The following is a 1,521-nucleotide window of genomic DNA, read 5'->3' as shown; positions in this document are numbered from 1 at the left end:
GGGGAAAGTCAACATTGACATAGCAGTGAGTGGCTCCCATGGCCTTAGTGCATTTCTGCTGACAGAAGGGAGCAACAAGGACCAATGGCTCCTTAGCATACATTAAGTGCAGCAGGATGTATGTCACAGTGTGCTTCCATTTTCTTACTATTATAGATACAGTTTATAGGGCAGATAGGCCTCTTCATGGATGGACGTTTGATATTACTGTCAGGACCTAAAAATATCAATACTTCTACCTTCTATATCTACATCTTGTATGAATATAGATACATAGATAGAAAGATACAGATATGTATATAAATACACACACATACAGAAATATATGAGTATTTCTGTGTAAATATGCATGTATACATTGATACTTGCCAACAGACATTTTCAGTAATCCTGACAATCCTAAGGGTGCAGACTTAGTCTTTCTTCCTTCCTATAGGGCTCAATACCATCTTAGAATGAAAAACAGCCATAGAACATTGTATGTATTAACATAAAGTTTCATTTTAAGAGCAAGTCCTGGCAGGTAACCTGGCGGTACTGCTACTGCCACTTAAGGTTTTTATTTTTGTTTTTTCTTGAGATGGAGTTTTGCTCTTTCTGCCCAAGCTGGAGTGCAGTGGCACAATCTCTGCTCACTGCAACCTCAGCCTCCTGGGTTCAAGCGATTTTCCTGCCTTAGCTTTCCAAGTAGCTGGGATTACCAGTGCCTGCCACCACGCCCAGCTAATTTTTGTATTTTTAGTAGAGATGGGGTTTCATCATGTTGGACAGTCTAGTCTCAAACTCTTGACCTCAGATGATCCACCTGCCTTGGCCTCCCAAAGTGCTGGGATTACAGCCATGAGCCACCGCACCTGGCCTCCACTTAAGGTTTTTTGTCCACCTTAACAGTTCAGGGCCCTGATTCCCTTCTTGATGTAGGCCTGCATTCTTCATATCCACCACTGTGGGCCTGCCTTGATTGTTAAGCAGTTCCAATTCAGCTTATATGCTGATTGGATTCACCTAGGCTGAGCTAATTGAACAGATTCACCTGGGCTGGGCAAATTGGCTGATTAGACTCACCTGGACTGGAGGGATGCAAATGGAAGAAACTTTCACCTAGTTTTCATTTGGGCTTTTATACATAGACATACTCACAAAATGGACATTACAAAGACATAATCATATAATCCTGTGTGTGTGTTTATGGGTCTTTCTACTTATATAAATATCTACAAGAAAAGCTCCAAAAGAAAACTAGGTCAGAGGTCTTTTTTGTTTCCATCCCCTCCATCCTAGATGTATCTAATCAGATAATTAGCTCAGTCCAAGTGAACTCAATTTGAGCCACACACCACTTCCTGTTCTTGTACCTGTAAAAAAGCCTTTGTTATTTGGCACCTGAGGTTTTCTTTAATTCAGGAGCTCCTCCAACCTGCCCAGTGGTGTTATGGCCATCCAGCTAGGACCGTTAAGAAATAGCAGACACCAGTAGGTGTAGTCTTTGACACACAGAGCCTTTGGACTGGCCAGTAGGGC

Source organism: Homo sapiens, chromosome 8, assembly GCF_000001405.40.
Source record: "Homo sapiens chromosome 8, GRCh38.p14 Primary Assembly".
NCBI classification, from domain to species: domain Eukaryota; kingdom Metazoa; phylum Chordata; class Mammalia; order Primates; family Hominidae; genus Homo; species Homo sapiens.
The sequence above is the reverse complement of the archived record's forward strand: the minus strand, read 5'-3'. Positions refer to the sequence as shown.